This window comes from Homo sapiens, chromosome 10 (genome assembly GCF_000001405.40).
Source record: "Homo sapiens chromosome 10, GRCh38.p14 Primary Assembly".
NCBI lineage: Eukaryota > Metazoa > Chordata > Mammalia > Primates > Hominidae > Homo > Homo sapiens.
Genome location: NC_000010.11, coordinates 132,996,406 through 133,024,202, shown reverse-complemented (window position 1 = coordinate 133,024,202; position 27,797 = coordinate 132,996,406). Strand labels below are relative to the sequence as shown.

The window sequence follows — 27,797 nt, the reverse complement described above, 5'->3', positions numbered from 1 at the left end:
CGTCTTTCACACTTTCATCCTGGCAATGAGAGCGAAGACCCCGGGGCTGGAAGGAGCAGGAGCTTGAAGACCCCGGGACTGGAAGGAGCAGGAGCTCAAAGACCCTGGGGCTGGAAGGAGCAGGAGCTCGAAGACCCCGGGGCTGGAAGGAGCAGGAGCTCGAAGACCCCGGGGCTGGAAGGAGCAGGAGCTAGAAGACCCCGGGGCTGGAAGGAGCAGGAGCTTGAAGACCCCGGGGCTGGAAGGAGCAGGAGCTTGAAGACCCCGGGGCTGGAAGGAGCAGGAGCTTGAAGACCCCGGGGCTGGAAGGAGCAGGAGCTTGAAGACCCTGGGGCTGGAAGGAGCAGGAGCTCGAAGACCCCGGGGCTGGAAGGAGCAGGAGCTCTCCTCTCAGTGGTCACACATGCAGGCTCAGCAGCCAGAGACCCAGGACAGTCATCTGTGGCCCCACCTCCTTCCGCTGTGGCCTGGAACACCGCCGTCCCACGTGGACTTGGAACACCACCACCCCACGTGGACCTGGAACACCACCGCCCCACGTGGACCTGGAACACCACCGCCCCACGTGGACCTGGAACACCACCGCCCCACGTGGACTTGGAACACCACCGCCCCACGCGGATCCATCCACAGGGCCCCGGGCACAGGTTGAGGCTAAGACAGGAGCAGCCACAGCTCTGGGCAGCCTCCCTGACACGCAGGGACCCACTGCACTTGGTGAGGCCCCTGGTCATGTGAGGCCAGCCTGGCGTTTTTGGAAGGTGTGCGTGGGTTTGCGAACCATGTCTGTTAGTCATGGCTACCCGAGGCTCCGCTCCAGCTCGCTCTTGCCGTGGTCACGTTGGTGTCACCTGATTTCTATTTTGGCTGAGAAATGCTGCAGACGGCCCGGCCAGGCTTGGGTTGCGAGTGTGGGTGGTCGGTGGGACCTTTCATGGAAACGCAGGTGCTGGCCGGTGCCTGGGGAGGCCTGGACCAGCCCCACAGGGCACGGGCAACAGCTTCTGTTCCTGCGCTTGAGGTGGACAAAGTTGAAAGGTGCTGATAAAAGTGCCTGAGCCAGAGACGTACGAGGGAGAGGGAGCGAGGCCCAGACACCTGCTCAGCCATATTGAGACAATCCTGAAGCCAAAATCTCCACTAGGCCCCAAGGCCAAAGGGCTACTGGGAACCTCCCCTGAGCAGTAACAAGACCTCAGCAAATTCTTTCCAAATAAATTGTTTTCCCAACGGCTGAGGGCAGGCTAGCTTCCCGAGGATGCTGGGTAATCTGATTAGACGCCAGTGGGGCGGGAGGGAGGCAGGAAACAGCCCTCCTCCGGCCCAGAGCCGCCGCGGCTGACGGATCATTTGGTGGAAATGATTTTTAGCTGCTAGAAACCCAGAGTTGCCCAAGTGACAGCTGCGTTTCTGAGTTTGTAGGTAATGATTCAAACTTAATTCTGCAGAGCAGTTTAAGTCCGTTTTCGCTGTGAGCTCTGCCACCCATGGCTGCGGTGCTTGGACCACAGTCCTGAAGAGTTTAAAGTCCATCCAGACTCCCAGAGCCAGGAGCCTCAGACCCGCTCCAGGCACCCGGCTTTCCATGAGCTCCAGAGGCAGATCGGCCACATCACAGACGTGTGTCTGTGTGAGCACCTCTGCTCCTGACGACAGGGTGGGGGACTGCGGGCCGGGTCAGTCCCACTTCCAGGTCAGAAAGGGCCGACTGCTATCAGCCTTTGCCCTGCAATGTCAGGAGGCTGCCCGTGTATTCTAAAGAGGGTCAGCTCAGAGAGGACCCAGCTGACGTTGCCCTGGTGGGGTCCGCGGGAGAGCGTAGCCAGGCCGAGGGCCGACTCCGGAGAGCAGGACGAGTCGCCTGGGCCCTCAGCGGAGACAAGCGCGGTGGCCTCTTTCCGCGGCCCCCATGCAGAGCCGGCCCTGCCTCCCTTAGGCTCCGCCAACGCCTAGAGCTCCTCGTGGGTGACGGCGGGGCTCAGCCGCCCCCGAAGGACATCGTGGGGGTGGGACCAGCGCCCGCCCCGTGCCTCTGCATGCTTCAGGCTGCTGCGCCGCACATCAGAGAGAACCGTGCTGGGGCTGGTGGGTGCCCTGAGACACTGGAGGGGAGGGAACGGAAGTAGAAGGTTGTTCTCGGCCTGCGATCACGCGCGGGCAGGTCTGACGTGGCGTAGACCCCGGGTCCTTCCTGTTTATGGGTGTAATGTAGTTTATGGGTTTAATGTGGATATGTTATCACAGTTTGTAAGCTCGGATGTCTGCCAAAATGTCTGGAACACCCAAACTTGATTAGACCAACCGCGTTGGGGGGTTCCAAGGAGGGACGATGTCACGAGCCAGGCGCGCCGACCTCCAGGAGAGCCAGACACAGGTGGATGCCGTCGAGGGACTGTAGAAAGAGGATTCCCCAGTCAGCTCAACCCGCTGGCTGAGACGCAGACTTGAGAGGATAAGACACTGCCACTCAGAAAGGGGCCCGGAGTTGGCCGCCAACCTCGACGCTGGAGGAACCATCCCCGGAGACCCAAGGTCTCCCGCAACCTCCCTGTGCCTTATCGGTGTGAGAACTTGACCTTTCCCTAATGGTGAAAATGAGAAGCTGTGTGCAGTGTGACTGGGATAAACACCTACACTTGTTAGGAATTGTTTGTGCCAAGAAACCGTGGGATTCAGGCATTAAGCCACAGTGTCTCTCGTCCTCTGCCACTTCACCCGCTGCGCACGCTGCTGCCTCTCTAAATTGTTCCGCGCGTGGATCCCGGCACGTGCCAGGCGTCCCCTTGGAGTGCCCGTGCCCAGTCGGCAGCGGGGGCCTTGCTGAGGAGCTGGTGCTGCTGCCGGCCTCGCTTTCCGGTCCTGACTCCATGCCCAGGCCCGCCGGGCGTCGGCCGTGACCACAGGTGACATTCACGCAGCAGCCAGCGTCCTGGTGCCTGCCCGTCTGTCCCTGCTCCTCCCCAGCCCTCCCTCAACCCAGGGCTGGGGCCGGGACCGCGGAGGGGCTGACGGGAAGGGCGGCCGTCACCGCAGACAGGTGCAGACTGGAGCGACCAGTCTCAATCACACCAACCAGCCCAGGGGGAGGTTCTGAGCATTTGGTTGGCTTTTTGGAACTGGAAACACGCGTTCCCACAGAAGCACTGCTGTACAAATAGCGTTCCCAGCTTCTCCCCAAACACACACACCCTTGGAGAAGGTGTCCCGGGCAACAGCACTGCTGCCTCTAACTCCTGGAGCCACCCCCTCTCCTGACTCCTTCAGGGGAGAAGGCGGCCGTCCCCTGGGGGAGAAGGTGGCCGTCCCCTGGGGGAGAAGGCGGCCGTCCCCTGGGGGGGAAGGCGGCCGTCCCTTGGGGGAGAAGGTGGCCGTCCCCTGGGGGAGAAGGTCGCCGTCTCTTGAGGGGGAAGGTGGCTGTCCCTTCGGGCAGAAGGGTGGCAGTCCCGCCGAGAGCCCCATTCTCTCCTTTGTCCTGTCAGGGCGGTGATGACTTCTGCCCACACGGCAGGAAAGGACAGAGAGGCTTCCACCCGCGGTCTGAGGGGCTGTGTCAGGAGGCGTGAATCCGCACCCTGGTGCCTGGCTGGATGGGGGGCAGGCGGGATCCCTGGATCTTGGGGTGAGGGGAGGCCCTGACTTCACTGGCTCGGGCTGGACCTCAGGTGGTCTGGGCCACTGGTCTGTGGCTGTGTGAGTGGCCCAGCCCATCTGGTGCTGCTCAGGACATGATTGGTCGAGTGATCACCTACGAGGGCGCGGGCAGAGCTGGGGATCCCGCTGGGGAGGCAGCAGCTTCTCACACGCAGCGCCGCGTCTCTGCCCCACAGCCGGCGCCCACCCCAGCGACTCGGGTCCTTGGGTGTTGGACTGGACTGCAAGGCGGTGGCCCCGGCCTACAGACAGCGCTTCCCAAAGCAGGCAACTGGACCTAGAATTTCAGAGACCAGAGTTGGGTGCAGTTAGGGGTCCCAGCCCAGCTCCTCACTTGCAGATGGAGATGCTGAGTTCTGGAAGGTTCTGTGCTTTGCCCAAGACCCCCACCAGCTGTGGCAGAGCCCTCACTTTCACCGGTTCTAGACTCTGGCTCTTCTGAAGGCCCTGGGATCCCTGTGCCCTGCGCGGGGGGTACAGCCTGCATGTCGATGTCAGGCGCCCGCCCAGTGACTTGGGGCAGAGGTTGGTGTTTCGGTGGCTCTGACGCCCAGCCTGTGCCCGGCATGGAGCTTGGGTTAGTGACGCATGGACAGGTGCTGGCACCCCTTTGAGAAGCAGCTGTGCAGGGCACAGGTCCTCCCTTCAAATGCCTCTGGAAGTAGCTGGGGGCGGGCATGGGCGGACATGAATTCAGACTGGATGCCCTCTGGAACAGCCGCGTCTCCAGCCACTGTGGGCACGAAGGGACGGGTGCTCCCAACATGCAGCTGTGTCTGAGGATGAACTTCAACCCGGGTATCTCCAGCAGCGCACATGCTGTTAGCGGCTTGGAGCACAGGGTCCCCCACTGGCTGGCCCAGGAAGGGGGCAACCCCAGCCCTTCTGAGGATGAGGGACCCCTGTTTCTGGCCTATGTTGCCTGCTACTGGGAGGGCAGCGTCTTCGCCATGGTGGACTTTGCCTTTATCCTGGACACAAATGTCACAGCTGCCCTTAGGGAGGTGCGTGGAGCCTCCCCACCCCCCGCCCAACGCACCACAGGAGAGGCCCCAGCTCCACCTAGGCCATGTCCCGCTCGGGTCCTTCCCTCCAGCCTGTGGCTGTGTGAGGCAGGGGTGCATCCGACGGCCACTCGCCAGCCACCCCCATCCCCACGAGGATGCCACCGCCACTCCAGGAGCCAGGACACCAGCTGCACAGAGTGCGAGGCAGGTACCCACATCCCAAGGGCCCCGCCTGCAAACCAGCTCCGAAGGCAGCAGACGCCCAGCGCGGAAGGTGCCGGAAAGAGTCTCAGGGATGTGTGCCTGATGCATGTTTATGCTGCATGAAAAGGAAAACATTTCAAACCCCAAACAACCTTCACCTTTATCTAAATCTGGAAAAGTGTATTTTTTCATTTGTTCAGAAAGAGCATCTCTCAGAGGCAGCCTCGGCTGTCACTCGATATTAAACTGTCAGAAAGAAACTCCAGCCTCATAGCTCAATAAACCATGCGGAACAAAAAAGAAATCACAGGCTCTTTTATAGATTTTACAAAAGCAAGATGATGCTTTTTTTCAGGATACAAAAATCCCTTTTTTCTCTTTTAAGAAAACACAGTGTATAAAATCATGGTGCTAAGAATCAGATCAACAGCCTGGATTTTAATGTGGGGGAAGAGCATTCAGCAGAGAAATCCTTTTCTCCCCAAACGAGAGCTGCGGACACCAGAGACAGTCCCGGGGCACCAGACATGTCGCGGCTTCTGGAGCACGTTCTGGACTCTGGCTCTGGCGGGGGAGAGCCCCCTGGCTGTGATGACCCCCGGCTGACAAAGAGGACAGCCCCTGGGCCTGGGAGGCGAAGGCTCCGCCGGGTCTTCCTGAGCACCTGGTGCCCCCGTTCTGGAGCCCCCCAACCCCCGAACGTTTATGCAGCAGCAGGAGGGCAGGTCCCTGCACACGGTCCCGGTCACCACGGTCTCTGTCACCACGCTCCCTGCGGGTCCCGCTGTCCTACTAGACCCGTATGTGGCATCCGTGTCTACCAGACGCCCATGTGGCATCCGTGTCTACCAGACGCCCATATGGCATCCGTGTCTACCAGACGCCCATGTGGCATCCGTGTCTACCAGACACCCATATGGCATCTGTGTCCATTAGACCCCCATATGGCATCCGTGTCTACCAGACGCCCATGTGGCATCCGTGTCTACCAGACGCCCATGTGGCATCCGTGTCTACCAGACGCCCATGTGGCATCCGTGTCTACCAGACGCCGTATGTGGCATCCGTGTCTACCAGACGCCCATATGGCATCCGTGTCTACCAGACGCCCATGTGGCATCCGTGTCTACCAGACACCCATATGGCATCTGTGTCCATTAGACCCCCATATGGCATCCGTGTCTACCAGACGCCCATGCGGCATCCGTGTCTACCAGACGCCCATGCGGCATCCGTGTCTACCAGACGCCCATGCGGCATCCGTGTCTACCAGACGCCCATGCGGCATCCGTGTCTACCAGACGCCCATGCGGCATCCGTGTCTACCAGACGCCCATGTGGCATCCGTGTCTACCAGACGCCCATGTGGCATCCGTGTCTACCAGACGCCCATGTGGCATCTGTGTCCATTAGACCCCCATATGGCATCCGTGTCTACCAGACGCCCATGTGGCATCCGTGTCTACCAGACGCCCATGTGGCATCCGTGTCTACCAGACGCCCATGCGGCATCCGTGTCTACCAGACCCCCATGCGGCATCCGTGTCTACCAGATGCCATGTGGCATCCGTGTCTACTAGACCCCCATATGGCATCCGTGTCTACCAGATGCCCATGTGGCATCCGTGTCTACCAGATGCCCATGTGGCATCCGTGTCTACCAGACGCCATGCGGCATCCGTGTCTACCAGACGCCATGCGGCATCCGTGTCTACCAGACGCCATGCGGCATCCGTGTCTACCAGACGCCATGCGGCATCCGTGTCTACCAGACGCCATGCGGCATCCGTGTCTACCAGACCCCCATGCGGCATCCGTGTCTACTAGATGCCCACGTGGCACGTCAGCACCTGGCGCCCGGAGTGGCTGGGGTCTCTGTGAACGGAAGTGGTGTGTGGCCATACATGAGAAATGGTTGGACCCCTCCTTGCCAGGCTCAAGGTGTCCTTGGAGGCTGGCAGCCCCGGCCAGAACCGTGCAAATTTTTCCAAGGTGGCGCTGCCTCACAGGTGCCTGCACATTCCAAAGACTCAGAGAACCGCATGCGGCCCCCTCAGCTGCACGGGGGATGGGGAGACCCGCAGGGAGCGTGGCGACAGGGACTGTGGCGATGGGGAGCGTGGCGACGGGGAGCGTGGCGACGGGGAGCGTGGCGACGGGGACCGTGGCGACGGGGAGCGTGGCGACGGGGACCGTGGCGACGGGGAGCGTGGCGACGGGGACCGTGGCGACGGGGAGCGTGGCGAGAGGGAGCGTGGCGAGGGGGAGCATGGCGACAGGGAGCATGGTGACAGTGACCATGGCGACAGGGAGCGTGGTGACGGGGAGCATGGTGATGGTGACATGTCTGCTGCCCAGTCGGCCTCCAGTCCTTGAGCCTTGGAGGGGCCAAGGGATGAAGGGGGACGACGGTGAGCTCCACCTGTGCCCAGCCCAGCGGGAAGGAAGGAGGGAAGGAGAGCGGTGGGGTCAGTGGTGGGGCAGCAGCTTCCTGGCCTGTTCCTGGCTCTTTCCTGGGTATCTCGATGCTGCGCTTTGATTGTAAATGGTCCAGCACAAAGGTGGAGACGGGCAGCCCTGGCCTGCTCGCCCAGCGGATGAGACCATCTCAGGGGCTGGCAGTGGGGAGGCAGGCGCTGCCTGGCTGGGCCCGCCCTGGATGCAGCTTCTCCACGATGCCCGGCCACGGCACAAAGGACAAGAAACACGTTTGTTCTGAGTCTCTCAAATAGGCATTCTGGAACATTCCCTTCCACCTGACTCTCCCCAGTTCCTAGTCCCCATCGACACACCTCACTGAGGGCCCCAGACTCCTGGAGAGCCATGGGCTGGGCTCTGGTGCTCTAACCAGATCCATCAACTCCAGCACTTTTAGGAAGAGACCCCCCGGGGCAGAGTTCCTGGGTGAGGGCTACCCCGCTCCCTGGCCTGGACCCTGCCCACTCCAGGTCCTGCAGCTGCCATGGGGCGATGCCGGTGGCTCTGGGCCTGGGCTGCAGCCGCTTGGTTCACGTTCCGGAGGCCCCGGCTCAGCGCCGGGCAGTGGCTCACGGTGTTCTGAGCAGGCGTTCTGGGCAAAAGCGCCTGCTGGGTAGCGCGGCTGAGGCCTGAGGGTGGGTGGTGCTGAGGTGTGTGCAGAGCTGCCTGGGCTGAGTCCCCGGTGCAGGCGGGCAGTGTCTGCAGCGAACGGAGGCCATTTCGAGTTCAGGTTCCCACAGCCAGAACAACCCTTCCCTGAGGCCGGCCTGTGTGCTCAGAGGTCAGAGTTGCAGGCCCTGGCATCTGCTCTCCGCATGAGGCCCAGAGGCCACAGCACACGTGTCTGGGATCGCCCAGTCCCACCTGGGACAGAGGAGCCTGTGACCCCCGCTGTGCAACCTGCCTCCTGCCCTCGAAGCCATGCGTGGGTGCAGTGCCTTCCCCGACGCCTCCTTCCAGGGGTGCGGACTCTGCGGCGGAGTCTGCAGGCTGTTTGAGCTCCCTCCCGAGCCCCCACTTCTCCAGCCTGTCATAGCCCTGCGGAGGGTCCGAGAGGCAACTTCTGCCAGCGTTTAACACAGCTGAGAGAACACAGAAACTTCTCTTTTTTCATTTTTCCAGAAAGCAAACCCAAGTACTCTTGTCCCTGGCCCAAAAAACCTTCCCAGGACCACCACCAATTCCAGAGTGCAGGCCCAGATGCCCCTGCCAGCGTGTACCAAGTGTGAGTTTACCCATCGGGAGGGGCCTTTCGCAGGGTCTCTGCAGCGTCTGTCCCCCCACCCCTCAGTGTCGTGTGGCAGGAACCCCACCTGCGTCCTGGGCGCCCCCTTCCCAGTCGAGACCCCACTCAGGAGCACCTCGGGTTGCCTGCCCGCTGGGTCCGTCCGAGCCTGGCCCCTCGAGGGAGCTTGCTTGAAAGATGCACTGTTTTAATTAACTAGAAAAATGTTTCGCTTTGGCTTTTCAGTAAATATTTCATTAGTAGTGGCGGCGACGTCAACAATACTTCCGGCTGAGGGGCTTTCTTCCTCTAGGGAGCGTTAAAGAAGAGCTGCATATTCTATGCAGCTTCCCTGGAGTTTATGTTCATCCAGAGGCCCATCCAGAGGACAAGACGCCAGGAAAACTGCAACAGAGACAAGGAAAAGCGTGGAGGATTCACCCTGCGGCCCGGACATGTCCGTCCCTGCCAGCCGCAGTGAGGGCAGGTGCACAGGAGAGGCCTCCGGACACGTCCGTCCCTGCCAGCCGCAGTGAGGGCAGGTGCACAGGAGAGGCCTTGGCCTGCAGCGGACGCCCAGGACTTCCTTCCACCGGAGCCGGCCTGGCCTGCAGGGAGCAGCATCTCTTCCTGCCCAGAGGCAGCCCGGGCCTCCCAGAAGCCAGGGAGGGGCTGGGGCTAGAGTGTCGGGCCCCCATCCATCACATCAGCCATGCCATCTCTTCTGTCTCATGCCCAGCAGTGGCCTCGGAAGGCTGACCCAACCAGCAGGCCTCGGGGACCCGCCCTGCTCCATCCCGGCCCTGCCGCCAGCACCATTGGCTGCCTGAAACTCCTGGTCCCCCTGCAGCCCTTGCTGTCTTGAGCCACCTGCAGCTGAGCTGCCTCTTGGCTCCCGACTTCCCCGCCACAGTGACCCTGACTAACCAGGCTGCCCGGGCATGGTGCATACTGAGAGCTCTGGGACCCCCGAGCCTTCCCGGCCCCGTGCCTCCCCCGCCTCCTAGGCGCCCCTCACGTCACCTGTGGGTGCAGCTCAGACCCAGGCACAGCAGCTGCGTCGTGCGTTTGGGCCTGCTCGAGCCCTGCTGGGCCTTGTCTCTGCCCTTGCACAGGCCGGGTTTGGCAGAGGCTCCACTGGAAGCCAAGTGGGAACCTCTGGAGGCGTCCACCGCAGTCTTCACTGCACCTCCATCCTGACGTGTCCTGCCGGGTGGCCTTGGTTGCTGGATGTGGCCTCCTGGTGTCTTAGACCAGAGGGGCCTGCAGAGCCCACCGTGGCTGTCACCCCACGGTCCTGGCAGTTGTGGGTTTCTGGACAGGGTGAGGACGCTCACATCAGACAGGCAGCAGCCCGAGGCCTGGAGCCCTGGGGTGGGGGTCCTTGCTGGAGGCAGGGCCAAGCGTGGTGAGGGCTGGAGCCTTCTCCTCCCACCTGAGCCTCACACATCCCAATGCCCCGAAGTATCTTTTTTGTCAAGGTTTCTGGACCCTGTGTCACCTGCGTGGCTGCAGCCATCTGGGTGCTGTGCCGTGGTCTGGAGTTTGTGCCAGGAGCGTGTGGCGCGCTGTTGAAGGGATGTTCAGGGCTCTGTGCTCCCTGGTCGACCCTGGAACATGGTGGATATGCCAGCTGATCCCGAGCTCCGTCTCTCAACACTTCTCCCAGGGGCAGAGAGGAACATGCGGGTGCCCGGGGCTGGGCCCCACCCCTCAACACCTGTCACCCCACTCTGCCCCACAGCCTTAATAAGGGGGTCCCGCTCACTGTAGGGACTGTCAGGCAGTCAGAGAGTGAGGCCTATGCCCTCCACGCCGGGCCCAGCTCAGGCACCTCTGCCAGGTGACATCACAGAGGCCACCACGCAGCCCCCGTGCCGCCCGCATGTGCCACCGGCTGCTGGCGAGACCCTGCCCTCCCCGCACAGTGACACAGGTGAGTGCCAGTCTCTGGGCGGCTCCACACGGCGGCTGCTTTCTTCCTCGGCTTCCTCATTCTTCCTCGGCTTCCTCATTCTTCCTCGGCTTCCTCATTCTTCCTCGGCTTCCTCATTCTTCCTCGGCTTCCTCATTCTTGGACCTTGAGTTTTGTCGTCTTCCTGTTTCTTCATCAATTGCCCCAGATCCCTTCCTAATAACAACTGGTTTCAATAACCCAACAGGTGCTACATTTATTTTGTTGATTCTCTGAAGACCCCGTTATTCCTCCTGCTAAACGCCATCCCAGAGCTTCACAAACATCTGTGTGTCCATGTTTTGCACGCAGGGGCTCTCTGGGAATGTCTGTGGCCTGCAGGTCGCACACCTCCGTGGCAGCCCGTCGCTGGCCACCCCACACGCGCGCCGTCTGGTGCTTCCAGACCACCTGCGATGGGAAAACCGTGGCTTTGGGGATGAGCAGACCTGGCGCAGTGCAAACCCCTGACCCATCTTCACTGTGGGTTTTTTATTGTGACGAGCGCTGGTGCCCAGCAACCCCAGGCAGGGTCGGTGCCCGGCCCACACGAGGGGACAGTCAACGCCCGATGCTGTCTCTTGACTTCATTTGGGCCACAGCCCCAGAAAGACCGACCTCAAAGACAGCCTTGGGGCAAAGGGCGGGTAACGGTCGGCGGGGGGCACCCTGGGTGGTCCCTCCTCCTCCCCCATCTTTCCATCACCCACAGAACGCGTCGCAGGAACGAGAGGCCGACCACGCTGTTTTCCTTTCCAGTTTTGAGCCCCTCGCGTTTTCAGCTTGGAAACGTGAGTGTGAAGGAACAGCAAGGGCTGGACTGGGGCACCGACGCTCGGCCGCTCGCTCAGAGCCATGACGTCATGGGGCTGCTGAGTCACCGCGCGTAATTCACGTGAGTGCACGGAGAGGAACTGTGGCTCCTCTAACCAACCCATCACCTCGGCGAGTGCAGGGCAGGCCCCGGACGTTGACCCTCCCGCTCCTTAGGGCACCAGTACCCGCTTCCGGTGCCGCCGTGCCAGGCCTCCGAGAAATTGCCGCCCATGGAGACGCGGCACTCAGATAAGCTGAAGAGCCCCACGTGCTACTGGGGACAGCATTTGCCACGGGAGCCAGGGTCACCTCGATAATAGAAAACCCCAGGGCCACCCCATAATAGAAGACCCCAGGGCCACCCCATAATAGAAAACCCCAGGGTCACCCCGATAATAGAAAACCCCAGGGTCACCCCGATAATAGAAGACCCAGGGTCACCCTGATAATAGAAGACCCCAGGGTCACCCCATAATAGAAAACCTTGCCCTGTTTTAGCAACGCTGCAATACTGATGGTACATTATTTCCATCACATATAAAACCCAGGTTTTACAAATGTACCTAAGACGTAAGGATGTTTTTTACTTAAGTCAGGAGCTAAACATCAGTTTGCACAAAAGCACCTCACGGAAAGGTTGACCCTGATTTTGGCTCCTGGCAGCTGCCCCTGCAGGTTTGCCCCCGTACTTGCCCCGCCAGTGTCCTCGCGCCCTGAGATTCTCCAGATCCCTCCTCACTGCCCTCGGTCACGGTTCACAGGCCCCTTCGGAGAGGAAGGGATTCCACAGAGACTCAGCCTTGCAGCAGCTGCCTGTGCCTACAGTGTGGTTTGAAGGGAGAGGTTCACCATTTGTGAAGATGGCGGCTGGGCCCAGTGCATCTCTGGGGGCTCGGGCAGCCAGTGCTGCCATGAGAACTATCTCTGGAGGACACACAGGAGGCCTGGACTCTGAGGTAAGGGGCTGCCAAGCTCAGACCAGAGGAACCCCCACACTGCAGAGGCCACCTGACAATGCTAATGTCCACTTGAACAGCAGTGAGACATCACGCACGCTAACACATTGCACACTAACACACATCACACACGAAAACACATCACACAAGCACACATCACGCACGCTAACACACATCACACACTAACACACATCACACACTAACACACATCACACGTGCTAAAACACATCACACAAGCACACATCACACACACTAACACATCACACACACGAAAACACATCACACAAGCACACATCACACACACTAACACATCACACACACAAAAACACATCACACAAGCACACATCACACACGCTAACACACATCACACACTAACACACATCACACACTAACACACATCACACGTGCTAAAACACGTCACACAAGCACACATCACACACACTAACACATCACACACACAAAAACACATCACACAAGCACACATCACACACGCTAACACACATCACACAAACACACATCACACACACTAACACATCACACACACAAAAACACATCACACAAGCACACATCACACACGCTAACACATCACACAAACACACATCACACACACGAAAACACATCACACAAGCACACATCACACACGCTAACACACATCACACACTAACACACATCACACGTGCTAAAACACATCACACAAGCACACATCACACACACTAACATCACACACACGAAAACACATCACACAAGCACACATCACACACGCTAACACACATCACACACTAACACACACATCACACACTAACACACATCACACGTGCTAAAACACATCACAAGCACACATCACACACACTAACACATCACACAAGCACACATCACACACGCTAACACACATCACACACTAACACACACATCACACACTAACACACATCACACGTGCTAAAACACATCACACAAGCACACATCACACACACTAACAATCACACACACGAAAACACATCACACAAGCACACATCACACACGCTAACACACATCACACAAACACACATCACACATGCTAACAGGTAACACATTAACACATCACACACTAACACATCACACATGCCAAAACACATCACACATACTAACACACCACACCAACACACACCACACCCACCAACACACACCACACCCACTAACACACATCACACATGCTAACACATCACACACGCTAACACCACAGGCGGATGCAGGAACAACAGGCTCCTGCGGCCCAGCCTGAGCCAGCAGCTGGGCATCTCTGAGCCGGAGACCAGCTCCCACCGTGCCTTTCCCTGGCCCAGGCACCAGCAGCAGCCCTCAGAACCTGAGGCCCAGACCGGTGGGTGCAGCCTGGTCCCAGTGCTGCGGCACCCACAGCTGTGAGACAGACCTTCGGGGAGGGACCTCCAGCCGGCCCACGCGCCTCACACTGGACAGAGGGGAGTGTCCCTGGACACAGACCCCCGGCTCTGAACTGGACACAGGGAACATCTCCGGACACAGACCCCCGGCTCCAAACTGGACACAGGGAACATCTCCGCACACACCCCCCGGCCCTGAACTGGACACAGGGAACATCTCCGCACACAGACCCCCTGGCCCCGAACTGGACACAGGGAACATCTCCAGACACAAACCCCCGGCTCTGAACTGGACACAGGGAACATCTCCGCACAGACCCCCTGGCCCTGAACTGGACACAGGGAACATCCCTGGACACAGACCTCCTGGCTCTGGGCTGCATGATGAGGGACAAAGGCAGCCACCTCTGGTTCCTAAGGCGGAGGAGCCGCTGGCGTTCCCAGCACTGCCGGAGCTGGGGTGGGCTGCAGGGGCAAGGACCGCCCCGCCTGACCCCGCTGGAGAAGGCAGGCCGCACGGACCACAGAAGCGGCAGCATCGCGCTGGCCGTTTTCAGGCTGAAGGCAGGAGGGCATCCCAGGGATTTGCTTTTTGAAGCCGAGTTGTGTTGATTTGAAGCCACTTTCTCTTCCACGCTGTTTGTATCCACAGAACAGGCCGTCAGCCCAGAGGTGTCACCACGCACCGCCTGCCCCAGGCCCTGCCCCGTGCCGCACCCAGTGCTATGAGGAGTGCTAAGTATTGCCTCCTGAAGACAGGACTCTCGGGCTGCTCTCAGGAGGGAGTGTGTGCGGGGCTCGGGCGGTGGCAGCCGCTGAGCAGGGACTTCCCGGCCTTCCCTGCATTGGGGAGGCTGCATGGGCGTGTCTGGCCAACGGAACCTGACTTCCCGAGGTCCATTATCTCAGGTCCAGCCCCCAGGAGCCCTCCTAGCACCCCACCTCCTTCTCTTTCCTCCTCTGCTGACCTGGAGCAGAGGGGCCGGGGAGGAGCCCCAGGTGCCGGGGACAGGAGCCCTGTGCAGACCAAAATATTTTAAAGTTTTCTACTTCCTGCCCTGGGTCTGGTTCTGGGCCACTCCCGTGTGGGAGAGTCACGCCCTTGGTGGCCTGAGGGCGTCACTCACATTCAAGTGTGGGTAACTGGAAGGCTGGCTGGCGCCCTGAGAGAGGGTGGGGCCTGGCTGTCTCATGACCTCTGCAGGGACAGGGCCAAAGGGTTTTCTCCTGACACGTCAGTTTCTCTGGAGAAGAATCTGGCCCCTTCCTGCCTAGGAAAGATGGTGCTGCCTCTGTGTCAGCATGGGCCTCTCCTGGCCCTCCCCACGGCTGCTGTCTCAGAAACCACAGCCCCCAGGACCATTTTTCTCAGGTTAAACCTCCTTCCAAGGCGGGAGTGGGCATTCACAGACATGCTCTCCTGACTCTGAAGTTGGGGAAAGAGCCGTTCTCCTTCAGGCTTATTCTGTTCATGGTAATCACAGCCACATTGAGCCCCAGACATTATCATGCTTCTCTGCTTCTTCCCAAAGTGCGCTGAGGCTGCGGCTCGCAGTGGCGTGAGGGTCGTACCCATCTGCAGGGGCCTGGTGCAGCCCATACCTGATGTTTGCGTCCAGGCAGGCCGTTTGTGCTGGCGTGAGATGGACTCCAGCGAGGCTGTTGTGCTGGGCTTGGGAGTGTGACCTCGGTTGGAATTGCAGAGTCAGTCTGAGAGAATCTGTGCCTGGAGTCCAGGAGAGTGCAGGGGGATGCTTTGTCCACCCTGTGGCTCAGCCTGGCCCTGTGGGTCAGGAGATGTTCCCAGCTGCCGTGCAGTGAGCTAGGGGCCCCTCGAGTACACTCTGGGCAATGTCCGGGTGAGTAGCCCTTCCCCGCCCAGCTCCCGGGCAGCTGCTGAATCTCTTCCCAGGGCTCAGGCTGCTGTGTCCAGACCAGGACCCGGGTTTGGAGCAGAGCAAGCACTTTCGCACTGGATCTTCCAGAATTGCGGGGCCCGGCCTGACACTCAGCCTGTGGCTCTGTGATGTGAGCCGCCACCCCCTCACCAGATCGGGCTCTGCAGCAGTAGGCTCCTCTGAGACCCTCTCTCACAGGCCCGGGGGGCCCGGCCCTCTTTCCCTCCGCATCACCGAGGGAGGTGTGAGAGAGACGCTCCTGGGGGCCCGGCCCTCCTTCCCTCCCCGTCACCGAGGGAGGTGTGAGAGAGACGCTCCCAGATGGTGGCCCAGTGCCGGTCCTCCTGGTCTCGTCCAAACACCTCGCACACCACAGCTGCCCTGACGCTCGGAGCACGGCTGGCGGGACCCTCCAAACATGGTCCCGAGGCAGGGTCTTACCCATCCACCACTCCTGGGATGTGAGAGAAAGGGGAGGCCGGTCTAACCCAATATGTAGATTAAAGGAAAACATTCTAGGCAAGGACAGAGCACTTAGGAGGCTGGGAAACTTTCAGGAGAGAAAGATGAAGCTACGTTCATCAGTGTTGTAAATGTGAATGCTCTTCCTTCATTTTAAGCCTACTGGGTTGTTTTTTTCCACTTTTTTCTTTTGATGACAAGCATTCAGTTGCCGTCTCTCTCAAGTCCTAAGTGTGGGAAACATAACTAAGGCCGTCCCGTGATTACGGACAATTCTTCAGCTTACTGACAATCTGCCCCTCTGTTTCCAGCCCCTCTTTCCAGGGAGGTGCCAGCTGTGCCTAGGCTGTGGGGCTCCCTTTCCTGGGACCCTTGGCCTCTGGGTCAGGTTTGCCCAGAACCCCCGGACTTCCTGCCTCTGCCCAATAGAGGCCGCGGGGGTGGGGCTGTGTTTGGGAAGGTGCCCGGCCCTCTGCCTTGTTCCCAGACTGACTCTGACGTCACCTGGGCCTGGTGGGCATCTCCAGGCTGCCGCCCGGCCGATCTGGGTCCAGGCCTCTGTGCCGACTCACTTGTCCCACACCCTGGCTCTCAAAGGCCACCCAGGCCCTGGGAGGCCAGCTGTGCCCTGGTTCCTTGCCTCAAAGCCTGGCCTGGGTGTCCCCTCCAGGACAGCTTCCTCCCCAGGGACTGGCTGTCACCACTGCCGGCAGGTGAGATTCCTCTCCCTCTGCCATGTGCCTGGCTGGGGGCTGGGAGGGGAACAGGGACCTGGCAGGCAGGAATGTCCCATGTGACCGAGCGCCCTGGGCCAACTGGGACATAAAACCTCGGCCAGCCCCTCCCAAGAGTGGAGGCCCAGGAGCCATTCAGTTGGCCCTGGGTGAAGGTAAACTGAGGCCCGTGTGCTGGGAAGCCCCAGCCATCTCAGATCGGGTTCCGACTGTCACCCCTGTATGATGTGAAGGTACTGTGAATCCTGGGGAGCTCATTTCCTTTCCCCCAAATGTCACCTGCTCCCACCCTGAGCCCCCTGTGCCCCCACGGCAGGCGTGGCTCCTCACCCCCAGGGAGACGCCAAATCCTCCTGTGAGGTGTGCTGAGCCACATTGAGTGTCCCAGGGTCCCAGAGCCTTCTGGACAGCCAGGCAGGCGCGGCTGCTCACTGGGCTGTGGAATGAGCCGGGGCCCTGGCTGCGCTCTCCCTCGGGCCCTCCTCACGGCGCAGGACGACGTCCACCTGAGACCGCAGAGTACGTGGTCGTCAGAAGCTAAACCCTTGCCTGGCCCAGGGAAGGCCTGATGGACTCTTCGTCCTGTGGGGACCACGTGTCCACGGGAGGTCACTTGTCCACAGGAGGTCACTTGTCCACGGGAGGTGGCCTTGTGTGAGTGGAACTGTGTCCCTGGTTCCCGTCTCTCGCTCTTGGGTGTGGCCTTCCTGGCAGACAGGACCTTTCCGAAGGCAAGTGGGTTAAAGTTTAGTCATGGGGTGAGCTCTGGTCCAGCATGACTGAGGTCCTGAAGGAAAGGGACATGTGGACACAGACATGCACTGAGAGGAACGCTGTGGGGACGTGAGGACCCTTCCCAGCCCTGCGGGCACCTTGATCTCAGGCTTGCAGCCTCTGGGGCTGTGAGAGGACAAGGCCTGTGGCCTACGCTGCTGTGCAGACTCCCATCTGGATAGCCAGACCATCTCCTCCAGGGTCCGGAGGAAGCCCCGAGCCACACCAGACCCCCAGATGCTTCTGCGGCAGAGGGAAGTCCCTAAGAAGCTTGTCACCCGGTGAAGGCCTGGTCCATCCTTGGCCACGAGCCAGAGGCTCTGCCCAGGACCCTCTTTCTGGTCCCAGCTGGCACGGAGGAGGAGAGCAACCACAGCTGACACTCCCACAAAACCCTGTGTCTCCAGGTGAGCCTGGTGTAGTGTGGGGCGGGAGGGGCCTGGCTGGGAACAAGGGGGATGACTTCCACAGCCACCTCTGGGTGCAAAGCACAGTCTCTGATTCCCGGTGTCTGCCCAGGAGATGCAAAAGGCAGATGTTGTCTGCAAACCGCAGGACTTTCCTGCACTGAATTGGATCGGGCTCTGGAGACCTGGAGGGACCTGCCCAGGAGGGGATCTCCTCGCATGGTGGCAGGAATCTCCCAGATATTAAATGCAAAATCTTAATAGTCATGTTTTTCACATCAGAGGAGAAAAGCCGTGTTTGGGATTGGTTTTTGCTCCAGGAAAATAGATAGTTGAGCACTTATGTCAACAGGAAAAGGACCCCAGCAAACAGGCCCCAGATGCAGAAATGGGTTCTCTGTCAGGAGACCGTCCCCCGTCAGGCGCTGGATCAGTCAGGAGACCGTCCCCCGTCAGGCGCTGGATCACTCAGGAGACTGTCCCCTGTCAGGCGCTGGATCACTCAGGAGACCATCCCCTGTCAGGCGCTGGATCAGTCAGGAGACCGTCCCCTGTCAGGCGCTGGAGCTGCCAGTGTGGGCTGAGCTGGCGCGTCGAGGTGTGGGAAGCAGCCCAGGCTGTGGTTTCCAGGACACACCTCACGCTCGCACTGGTAATGATTTGTTTCTATTTTCTTCTTTGAAGACTCGTCCCATGCGACTTCAGATGCATGATAAGCAGTGATTTCCCTTTATCTTCTAATTTCCTCTGCTGTCATTTTGCCTGTCTCTGACAACAACCTCCACAAAAACAGAAAGGCGGGACAGTTAGGGCACGACTCATGGCCTCTGGAGGCTCCTTATGTGGGAAATGTTACGTCCAAGCCCACAGAGGGTCATTTGCAGACACAGAAGCTCTACTGTGTCTCCAGAACTGTGGCGTAGCCCCGCAACACCTGGTGGTGATGCCGCACACAGGACACCCGGCTTCGTGGGGCTTAATCCCTGGACATCCACACCCATCACGTTCCAGGCACGGCTGGAGAACTCCCACACCTGACCTGCATGCACCAGTGCTCAAGCCATCCCTTCAGAGACACGCTTGCCTGGACCCGCGGGAAAGGCTCACTGTGATGATGCAGCCTCGTCTGGGGCTAGAGGCTCCCTGGGACCAACAGCCAGTAGGGACACAGCGTGTCCTGAGCCACGGGGCCACACAGCGTGTCCTGAGCCACGGGGCCACACAGCGTGTCCTGAGCCACGGGGCCACACAGCGTGTCCTGAGCCACGGGGCCACACAGTGTGTCCTGAGCCACAGAGCCACAGTCTGTCCTGAGCCACAGAGCTACAGGACCTTGGGTGACATCTGACTCCCCCCGTCCCCAGCATTTTCTACAATGTTGCAATGAGCATCGCTTCCCACCTGAGACAAGAAATTGCTCCTGAGGAAAACAGTAGCAGGCTGCCACTTTACATGCAAACCAAGCAATGCACACAGAGGGTTTTGTTTAGTTCTGGAGGATGCATCATGGGATGCAGCATCCTGGGCTGACAGGACCTAGGGAGGGCCCACGGCTGGGGGTGCTTCCCAGGACTTCAGCCCTCCAGCTGGGTGCTACTTCGGCTCCCAACTGCCCACGTCTGGAGTCCACGCCCATGCTTCCTCTTTCATGCGCGTCCGTGTGAAGAGACCACCAAACAGGCTTTGTGTGAGCAACATGGCTGTTTATTTCACCTGGGTGCAGGTGGGCTGAGTCCGAAAAGAGTCAGCAAAGGGAGCTAGGGGTGGGGCCGTTTTATAGGATTTGGGAAGGTAATGGAAAATTACAGTCAAAGGGGGTTGTTCTCTGGTGGGCAGGGGTGGATCTCACAAAGTACATTCTCAAGGGTGGGGAGAATTACAAAGAACCTTCTTAAGGGTGGGGGAGACTACAAAGTACATTGATCAGTTAGGGTGGGGCAGGAACAAATCACAATGGTGGAATGTCACCAGTTAAGGCTGTTTTTACTTCTTTTGTGGATCTTCAGTTACTTCAGGCCATCTGGATGTATACGTGCAAGTCACAGGGGATGCGATGGCCTGGCCTGGGCTCAGAGGCCTGACATCCTCCCCCTGCCCAGTGGCCTCTGCCCAGAGAAGCTAACCAGCTAAGCAGTCACCATGCACACTGCATTTATTTTTTAAATAAATGTTTAATCTTAGGATAGCTTTAAATTTACAGAAACCCTGGAAAGATGGTGCAGAGACTTCCCATGTGCCCCGCCTCATGGAGGGGCTCTTTCGGTTGACATAACTGTGGGTGTTTTGTCTTGATTTCTTTGTTCATCTGAGCACTTCCTTGCTTTCTGGCACTACAAGATGCCCCAGTCACACCTTGTGTGTTTTTTGCCCCAGTCATAGGATCGGGAGCCCTGGCTGCTTTTACTGGAGAAGGGTGTTTGTAAGCCGAGGTCTGGGTGGTAGGGTGCTCACCCCTCCTGGGGTGTCACTGATTGCAGACCCCCTCTGCCAACAGAGCAAGTGAGTGTATGTGCATGTACCAACTGCACTCACACCTCAAACGTATGTGCGTGTACTAACCGCACGCACACCTCAAACGTCTGTGCGTGCACTAACCGCACGCACACCTCAAACGTCTGTGCGTGTACTAACCGCACTCACACCTCAAACGTATGTGCGTGTACTAACCGCACTCACACCTTAAATGTTTCCATGTGACCGTTCGTGAGCAGGCTAGAGCAGCTCCATCTCAGATGCTAGTCCAACATGTTGGCTTCTGATTAACCCCAGCTCCAGGGATGTGTAAACCAAAAATGAAGTTCTAAGTCCCTCCAACCATTTTAATGGGCCCCTCCTCTCAGCCAAGGGCATTCCAAAGTAAACCTAAAAAACCAGTTCAGGCCATGTTGGGATGGGGTGGGTTGGACGTACTCATGACACCCTCCCCCTTTTGGAATTCAGGCACAGGTGATCAACATTAATGTTAAACAGAGACCTGAAGAATTTGTAGCAGTAAAACACCAAATTCCAGCCTGACTGTAGTTTAGCATCACATGACAGAGATCAGGCCCTGAAAGAAATCAAAGTATTTTACCCTAAAATCTGTTTCTTTGACATATTTTGCAATGGCCCTGCAAAGCTGTCCCTCATGGGGAAAACCTGCATACTGTAGAGAATCCTGTTCCCTTTCCAAGTCTTTTCCCTGATCCAGGAGAGAATTAACTAAGAGTCTGGCACATTTTTAAGTCTGATAAGAAACATTTATAACCTATTGTCTCTGAAGCCAGCTACCTGGAGGCTTCATCAGCATAATAAGAACCTTGGTCTCCACAGCCCCTTATCCTAATCCAGACACTCCCTTCTATGGATTCCAGGTCTTTAGATAAACTCTTTCAACCAACTGCCAGTCAGAAAATCTTTGAATCCACCGATGAGTTGGAAGCCCCACCCCTTCCAGTTGTCCTGCCTTCCCAGACCTAACCAACTGATTGATGCCTTATGTCACCCTAAAATGCCTAAAACCACGCTATAGTCTGACCACCTTGCATACATATTCTCAGGATCTGTTGGGGCTGTGTCATGGGCCATTGGTCACTCATATTTGGCTCAGAATGAATCGCTTCAAATATTTTACAGAATTTGACTCTTTTCATTGGCAAATTCCTCTAAGATTTCTACTTTATCTACTGTTTCCATAAATCCTGCCCTCAGGTCAAAACAACCTCAATCACAATGCTGCCCTCAGGCAGATTCACAGAGCGGCCTTGCCTTTCCCTGAAGGGTTGACTTCAATTTTCCTGGAAGTCCCTTCCCTGTGGGGTAGAAGTCCCGGGTCTGCGGGGTGGTGGCTGGGGATCCACCATCTCATCATCCTGGGTCTGCGGGGTGGTGGCTGGGGATCCACCATCTCATCTGGTAGCTGCCCAGGACATTTGTTCTGTTTTTTGAGATGGAGTCTCACTCTATTGCCAGGCTGGAGTGCAATGGCGCGAGCTAGGCTCTCTGCAACCTCCGTCTCCCAGGTTCAAGCAATTCTCTTGTCTCAGCCTCCCGAGTAGCTGGGACTACAGGTACATGCCACCATGCCCAGCTAATTTTTGTATTTTTAGTAGAGATGGCATTTCACCATGTTGGCCAGGATGGTCCCGATCTGTTGACCTCGTGATCCACCCGCCTCAGCCTGCCAAAGTGCTGGGGTTACAGGCGTGAGCCACCACGCCCGGCCTAAATGTTTCTTTCTAAGAAACTGGATTTGTTAGCCTCTTTCTTTGGCCTCTCAGCTTCCTCAGCCCCAGGGGTAGCTTTGCATAGACCAGCTCACCATGGAAGAGTTTGTATCTACATGAAACTAAATTTGCACGCATGCTGAGGCTCCAGCTCTAACCCAGCACCACATGCAATTCCAGCCCCTCCTTCCTCATCTGTCACCTCCCACTGCATGGTGAGGAACCCAGCTCCCACCATCCACCATCCGTGCACTTAATTGTTCGATTCCAGTGTGCATGCACAGCAGCATCAAAACCCAATGTAAGAGTCTCCGGAATATCTTATAGTTGAAATCACAGAGCCTGTAAGTTCAGACTGGCTTCTTTCACTTAGCAAGATGCATCTAAGATTCACCCCATCTCTGCATGGCTTAATAACTTACTGCTTGACCTCGGTCCGACCACGGCCTGAGAAATGACCAGCACCTTCCTCTAACAGCCTCCGTCAAACAGCCCTTTCAGCAGAGAGCAAACCATCACTTTGCAAGTCACCAGGAGAGAGTGTCCAGGCATTGGGACTGAGCAGGACACTCTCTCTGCTGGAGCACCCTAGATTCTGGCTTCGGGATGACGGAGACTCAGGAGGTTTTACTCCCCCTCCCACCTGTTATCTGCAGAGAGCACCCTGCCCTGAACTCACCCCACCAGCTGGGGCAAGTGGTGTGAACCCCGCGAGGACGTCCCACGGCCTGTGTGACCCGGCACCCAGCAGGACGCAGGCAGCCCAGCCACTGTCACACAGTCACGGGAAAGGCCAGGGGACCTGGGGACTGTGGCCCAGAGCTGATAGCAGGAACCACCTCCGTTAGGCAGAAATGATGCACGAAGCCGCAGGTGCACTCATGGAACCAGGGAAAGTGTTCCAGTCTAAGTTTATCTGGGGGAAGTGGAGGTTATAAAACAGGAAATGTGTATAATGAAGCACTCAGATTTTAAACTGATGGCTTTGCACACCTTTTTATTAGCTAACGGGCATAAATGATGCCTCATATCTTTCCTTGTATTAATTTGTGGCATGATGTAAGTGGCTTTGGCATCTGAGGGAGAATCTGAACTCCTCTGTGTTCTGATACATGCTGTTCCCTGAGTCGACTCCCGGCTGCAGCCCTGCAGGGCAGTGCGGGGGTATTGTCTCTTCAAGCACATGGGGGTCCTGGGGAGGGGAGAGCAGCCGCCGTGTGCAGCCGTGTCTGGAAGGGTCTGGGGTGCCAGGGTCTGTCCAGCCACTGGTCAGCAGGCTTTACCAGAGGCTACTCAGACCACCCTAAAATCAGGAGAGGACAGCCAGGCGCAGTGGCTCATGCCTGTAATCCCAGCACTCTGGGAGGCCGAGGTGGGTGGATCATGAGGTCAGGAGTTTGAGACTGGCCTGGCCAATATGGTGAAACCCCGTCTCTACTAAAAATACAAAAATTAGTCGGGCGTGGTGGCGCATGCCTGTAGCCCCAGCTACTTGGGAGGCTGAGGCAGAAGAATGGCTTGAACCTGGGAGGTAGATGTTGCAGTGAGCCGAGATCGTGCCACTGCACTTCACCCTGGGTGACAGAGCGAGACTCTGTCTCAAAAAAAAAAAAAAAATCTGGAGAGGACATCAGGGCTGAAGAAAGGGCTCACTGGCCCCTGAGGCCTGCTGGGGCCTGACTCAGGCCTGAAGCCGTGCTTCCTGCCCTGCGTGGAGCAGAGGTTGTGTGGACCAGCACTCCACAGCCCAGGGTGCCGAGTTCCCCAGGGAGAATGCACAGCTCCTAGGTGCTGACATTTGTCAGTGAAGGGCTTGAAATAGGCTGTTCTTGCAGACTGACTTTAAGTTAAAGACACTTGAAACACAGCAGGTGCAACCAGGTCACTTTGACCTTTGTGCTGTTTCTTAAAAGCAGAAGATGAGATTCCCAAGTGGAAAACACCAGTCCTATACTAGAAGGAAAGGCAACGTCTTTATCTTCCAGGACAAGAAGTTCAAGAATACAGTATTCTCTTCAAGGACAGAATACCCTTGAGACCTTGTTAGAATAACTCATCTTTCCAGCTTCCTGTTTCATTCCATTGTATGTTGCTATAACACGACACCACAGACTGGTTAACTTACAATGAACAGAAATGTATTTGGCTACTGTTTCTAGAGACTGGGGAAGCCCCAGGGCGTGGTGCTGGCCTCCAGCAAGGGCCTTCGTGCTGTGGCAGCCCATCGGGGAGGGCAGAAGGACTACAGAAGGCAACAACAAGGGGGCAGGAGGGGAAACTCACGTTCCTAACAAGCATATTCACAATAATGAACCCACTTTGACACTAATCTGCTCACGAGGACAGGTCTCGAGACACGAGGGCCTCACTGGGAGGCTCAGGGGATGGAGGTGGAGAAACAGGAGGTCCTCGCCGGGAGGCTCAGGGGATGGAGGTGGAGAAACAGGAGGGCCTCACTGGGAGGCTCAGGGGATGGAGGTGGAGAGACAGGAGGGCCTCACTGGGAGGCTCAGGGGATGGAGGTGGAGAAACAGGAGGGCCTCACTGGGAGGCTCAGGGGATGGAGGTGGAGAGACAGGAGGGCCTCACTGGGAGGCTCAGGGGATGGAGGTGGAGAAACAGGAGGGCCTCACTGGGAGGCTCAGGGGATGGAGGTGGAGAGACAGGAGGGCCTCACTGGGAGGCTCAGGGGATGGAGGTGGAGAGACAGGAGGGCCTCACTGGGAGGCTCAGAGGATGGAGGTGGAGTTCTGCCGAGCCTGCCCTAGCTCTCCAGCTTTGTCTCTGTGGCCAGCCTGGCTGGATGGGTCTGATCCAGGCTGGGTCTCCTCTCATAAACCAAACCTGATATTGGCTGGACCTAGGAATGCATGAGGCCTGTCAGTACTGCCCAGAGGACGAGAGGGTCCTAGGAAGACAGTAGAGTGGGAAGACCCGGCCTGGGGTCCGCAAACTGGTGGGCGTCCTGCAGATGGGCTCATGGTGCTGAGCTCATGGTGCTGAATTAAGTGGACACAGCCTGGGGTCCATAGCCTGGTGGGCATCCTGGTGGGCTCTAGGAGATGGGCTCACGGTGCTGAATTAGGTGGACACCCTCAGGCAGGAAACAGGAACCTTGACTTAAACCTCACACCTTATGTGAAAATTACCTCAAAATGCACCATAGGTTTAAATGTAACACTTCTAGAAAAAAACAGAAGGAGAAAATCTTCAGTATCTTTGATCTCTAGGGCTAGACTTGACACCAAAGGCATGATCAATAAAAGGATAAAGTGATAAACTGGACTTTCAAAATTCATAAAAATGGAAAATACGTGTCCCGTGAAAGCCTGTTGTTAAGAGGATGAAAACTACAGGCTAAAAGAAAATATTTACAAACCTCATTTCTAACCAAGAACCAGTGTCTCGAATATATAAAGAACTCTCAAAACCCAATAGCAAAAAATCCAATTATAAAATGCACAGAAGACAGAGAGGGACATTTCACCAAGAGGATCTATAAATGGCAAATAAGCACACGAAAAGATGTTCAATATTGTCAGCTGTTAGGGAAGTGCAAATTTAAACCACAATGAAATATCACAACACACCTATCAGCATGGCTCAAATAAAAAATAGCATCAACAGCACATGCTGGATGCAGAGAAACCGGATCCCCATCACCTGCCGGTGGGAATGCGAAGTGGCACCGCCTCTGAAAATAGTTCGACAGTTTCTTAAAACATTAAAGGTACATGTAGCGTGTGCCCCAGCAACTACATTGCTGGGCATTTATCTCAGACAAACGAAACTTATGTTCGCACAAAAACCACACAAAAATGTTGATAACAGTTGCATGCATACTAGCCGCATCTGGAAATAACCTGGATGCTCTTCAAGCGAGTGTTAAACACACTGAGATCCATCCATGGCGTGAAGAGCTACTCAGCAGCGGAAAGGCGCGAACCATGGGCGACAGGACATCCTGCACGTATGTCCAGGGACCCATGCTGTGGGAAAAAGCCGGCCCCCGAAGCTTGCACGTGTTATGATTCCACTGACAGCTCAACAGCTCAACGTGGAGAAAGTATACAATTGGGGAACAGATTCCAGTTGCCAGGGGTTGAGGTGGGGCTGGGGTGAGGGCACAGGTCTGTGTGGAGGGTGTGTGTGCAAGTGCACAGGAGGCCCACAGAGGGTGTGCACGTGCAGTGTGTGTGCAGCAGTCAGCAAGCATGGATGTGAGAGGCACTGCATGCACGACTGTCCCCAGGTGTGCACGTGTGTGCTTGTGCCTGAGTGCACACGTGTGCATGTGTGTTGTCTGTGCGTGCATGTGTGTTGCCTGTGTGTGTGCATGTGTGTTGTGTGTGTGCATGTGTGTTGTCTGTGTGTGCATGTGTTGTCTGTGTGCATGCGAGTGTGTTGTCTGGGTGTGCACACAGGTGTGCACTTAGGTGTGTGAGTGCGTGCCTGTCCGCTTCACTCCTGGAATCTGACCCAAGATAGGTGACTTCATTAGATCGTGGGGCCAAATGCTTTCTGGAAAAGTATGTGTCTGAAATGACACTGGGAATGGGGAAATGGGACTCTGCAGAATGTTCATTTTACACATTGTTTCTGAACCAGATCAAATATGCAGAATAAAGCCAGCCCTGCCAGAGGCTGCAGGGCACCCTTCGAGCCCGAGTGAATACAGCCGCTAGTAAACTGCTTATGGCAATCTGGTTTAGTTCTAACGTTAAACCTCAACTGTGATAACAACATCTCCTGCATCAAGGAACAGCAAGTTCCTTTCAAATAGAGAGCTCGGCCTCAGAACATATTTAGAATATAACTCAATTAAGCAAAAATTAAGTTATGCACAATCTGTCAGAGCTGCAGCTATAATGTTGAGCAAAGCCCCATTCATCGGGCTTATAAGTCACGGGTCAGCGTGAATTTGTCTTTATTAACTGCAATTATCTCCCCACCATCCACTGGACAAGCTATGACCTGCTCTAGCAATCAGCTTCCGAAGGAAAAGGCCGAGCATCTTGCCACATCTCGACAGGATTGCTGCACGTCTCTTTTTCATACATGAGTTTAAAACCGGCAGAAATAGAAATCTTCCATTACTACAAAGCTGAGTTAAGCAAATCCTGGTAGAGTGGACCCTGCAAACCTTTACACGGAACGTCCGAAGGGGCCGACCTCGGAAGTGCTCCTGAAAAGGATGGTGCCCCTCAGTCTCTGTGCGTCCTCGGTCAGCCCTGACACACGGTGTCCCGCACAGAGGCTGTGCCGGTCAAGGAAGCCACCTCCGGGCCGGATGTGTCCAGGGACACCACAGCTCCCGCCACAGCAGCCCGGAGCAGAAGCCGTGAGGCTTTTCAAAGAAAGCTGGAAAGATGATGTTTAAAATCAGAGGATGGAAATGGACGGTGACAGAGCTGAGGGTCAGGGCGGGTCACCATGGGGTCAGGGTGGGTCTCCGTGGGGTCAGGAAGGGTCTCCGTGGGGTCAGGGTGGGTCTCCGTGGGTGGGTCTTCGTGGGGTCAGGGTGGGTCTCCGTGGGGTCAGGGTGGGTCTCCGTGGGTGGGTCTTCGTGGGCTTTGGTCAAAGGCCACCCAGGCGCACCAGCATCAGGCATGCTGCGGGGCTGTGCAGCCGACCTGGAGACTCCCAG

The 27,797-nt window shown here is 57.3% G+C and overlaps 1 non-coding gene across 2 annotated transcripts, besides 5 other annotated features; it reads right to left on the bottom strand.

Moving 5' to 3' along the window:
• Positions 1-8,435: 8,435 nt before the first annotated feature.
• Positions 8,436-14,461, bottom strand: LOC112268067 (uncharacterized). Of its 2 annotated transcripts, XR_007062350.1 has the most exons (3): positions 10,067-14,461; positions 9,589-9,879; positions 8,436-8,970 (listed from the first exon to the last, which is right to left on the bottom strand). It is a non-coding gene; the product is annotated as an uncharacterized LOC112268067 (transcript). The 2 variants fall into 2 exon arrangements; XR_002957107.2 differs by having other exon boundaries at positions 9,589-11,332.
• Positions 10,032-10,581: an enhancer, noted in NCBI's record as "H3K27ac-H3K4me1 hESC enhancer chr10:134827126-134827675 (GRCh37/hg19 assembly coordinates)". NCBI's record gives its function as "activates a minimal SCP1, AML or CMV promoter by ChIP-STARR-seq in primed H9 embryonic stem cells {active_cell/tissue: H9 hESC(primed)}" and the evidence as "EXISTENCE:reporter gene assay evidence [ECO:0000049][PMID:30033119]".
• Positions 10,032-11,681: a biological region, named in NCBI's record as "CDK7 strongly-dependent group 2 enhancer GRCh37_chr10:134826346-134827545".
• Positions 10,162-11,361: an enhancer, noted in NCBI's record as "CDK7 strongly-dependent group 2 enhancer chr10:134826346-134827545 (GRCh37/hg19 assembly coordinates)". NCBI's record gives its function as "activates an origin of replication core promoter dependent on BRD2, BRD4, P300/CBP, MED14 and CDK7 cofactors, with strong dependence on CDK7, by STARR-seq in HCT116 cells {active_cell/tissue: HCT116}" and the evidence as "EXISTENCE:reporter gene assay evidence [ECO:0000049][PMID:35650434]".
• Positions 11,131-11,681: an enhancer, noted in NCBI's record as "H3K27ac-H3K4me1 hESC enhancer chr10:134826026-134826576 (GRCh37/hg19 assembly coordinates)". NCBI's record gives its function as "activates a minimal SCP1, AML or CMV promoter by ChIP-STARR-seq in naive and primed H9 embryonic stem cells {active_cell/tissue: H9 hESC(naive and primed)}" and the evidence as "EXISTENCE:reporter gene assay evidence [ECO:0000049][PMID:30033119]".
• Positions 15,465-16,292: an enhancer, noted in NCBI's record as "H3K27ac-H3K4me1 hESC enhancer chr10:134821415-134822242 (GRCh37/hg19 assembly coordinates)". NCBI's record gives its function as "activates a minimal SCP1, AML or CMV promoter by ChIP-STARR-seq in primed H9 embryonic stem cells {active_cell/tissue: H9 hESC(primed)}" and the evidence as "EXISTENCE:reporter gene assay evidence [ECO:0000049][PMID:30033119]".